This window comes from Homo sapiens, chromosome 5 (assembly GCF_000001405.40).
Source record: "Homo sapiens chromosome 5, GRCh38.p14 Primary Assembly".
In the NCBI taxonomy this organism is placed as follows: Eukaryota; Metazoa; Chordata; class Mammalia; order Primates; family Hominidae; genus Homo; species Homo sapiens.
The window spans coordinates 130,386,224-130,387,025 of NC_000005.10; the positions used below are offsets into that span (position 1 = coordinate 130,386,224).

The 802-nt window shown below is 40.3% G+C and overlaps 1 pseudogene; it reads right to left on the minus strand.

The window, feature by feature from the left end:
* RNU7-53P (RNA, U7 small nuclear 53 pseudogene) lies at window positions 399-456 on the minus strand (annotated as a pseudogene).

Consider the following 802-nt stretch of genomic DNA (forward strand, 5'->3'; position numbering starts at 1 on the left):
TCTCAAAGAGCAAAGACAAACAGAAAGCAGAAGGCCTGAGGATCAGCATCACATAAACAACAAGCTGAGGAGCAGGGGATCCCCGAGAGAGTCAAGAAACTGAGGGAGGAAAGGTTTATGGGAAGGAAGAAGTGATGAATGGTGTGAAATGTCACCTAGTGGTCAAGCAAGAGGATCTGAAACATTTTCCTTTGTGTTTATGAATTTGAGAATTTGGATGACTTTATAGAGAAATTTAAATAGAAAGATAAATAGCAAATATAGAACTTCTCAGAGGCTCAAATGAGAAAAATTTAGAAGGAAAAGAATACATGTAAAGAGAGAGATTTGTTCTATAAACTTGAGATTGCTTTCTGAGAGGATTAGTTGCATCGTCTTTGTGTGTATATTGGCTGGGGAGGGTTTCGCTAAAAAACCAAAAACCTGCTAGACAAATTCTAAAAGAGCTGTAACACTACTTCATGTCTTTTTGTAATCTACTACTTTAAATTTTTAAAGAAAAATTGTAAGTAATTTTTACATAAGTTTTACTTTATTTTACATAATTAAAAAATACCATAGGCCAGGCACCATGGCTCACGCCTGTACGCCTGTAATCCCAGCACTTTGGGAGGCCGAGACGGGTAGATCAGCAGAGGTCAGGAGTTCAAAACCAGCCTGACCAACAAGGTGAAACCCCATCTCTATTAAAAATACAAACATTAGCCAGGTGTAGTGGCAGGGGCCTGTAGTCCCAGCTACTTGGGAGGCTGAGGCAGGAGAATTGCTTGAACCCGGGAGGTGGAGGTTGCAGTGAGCTGAG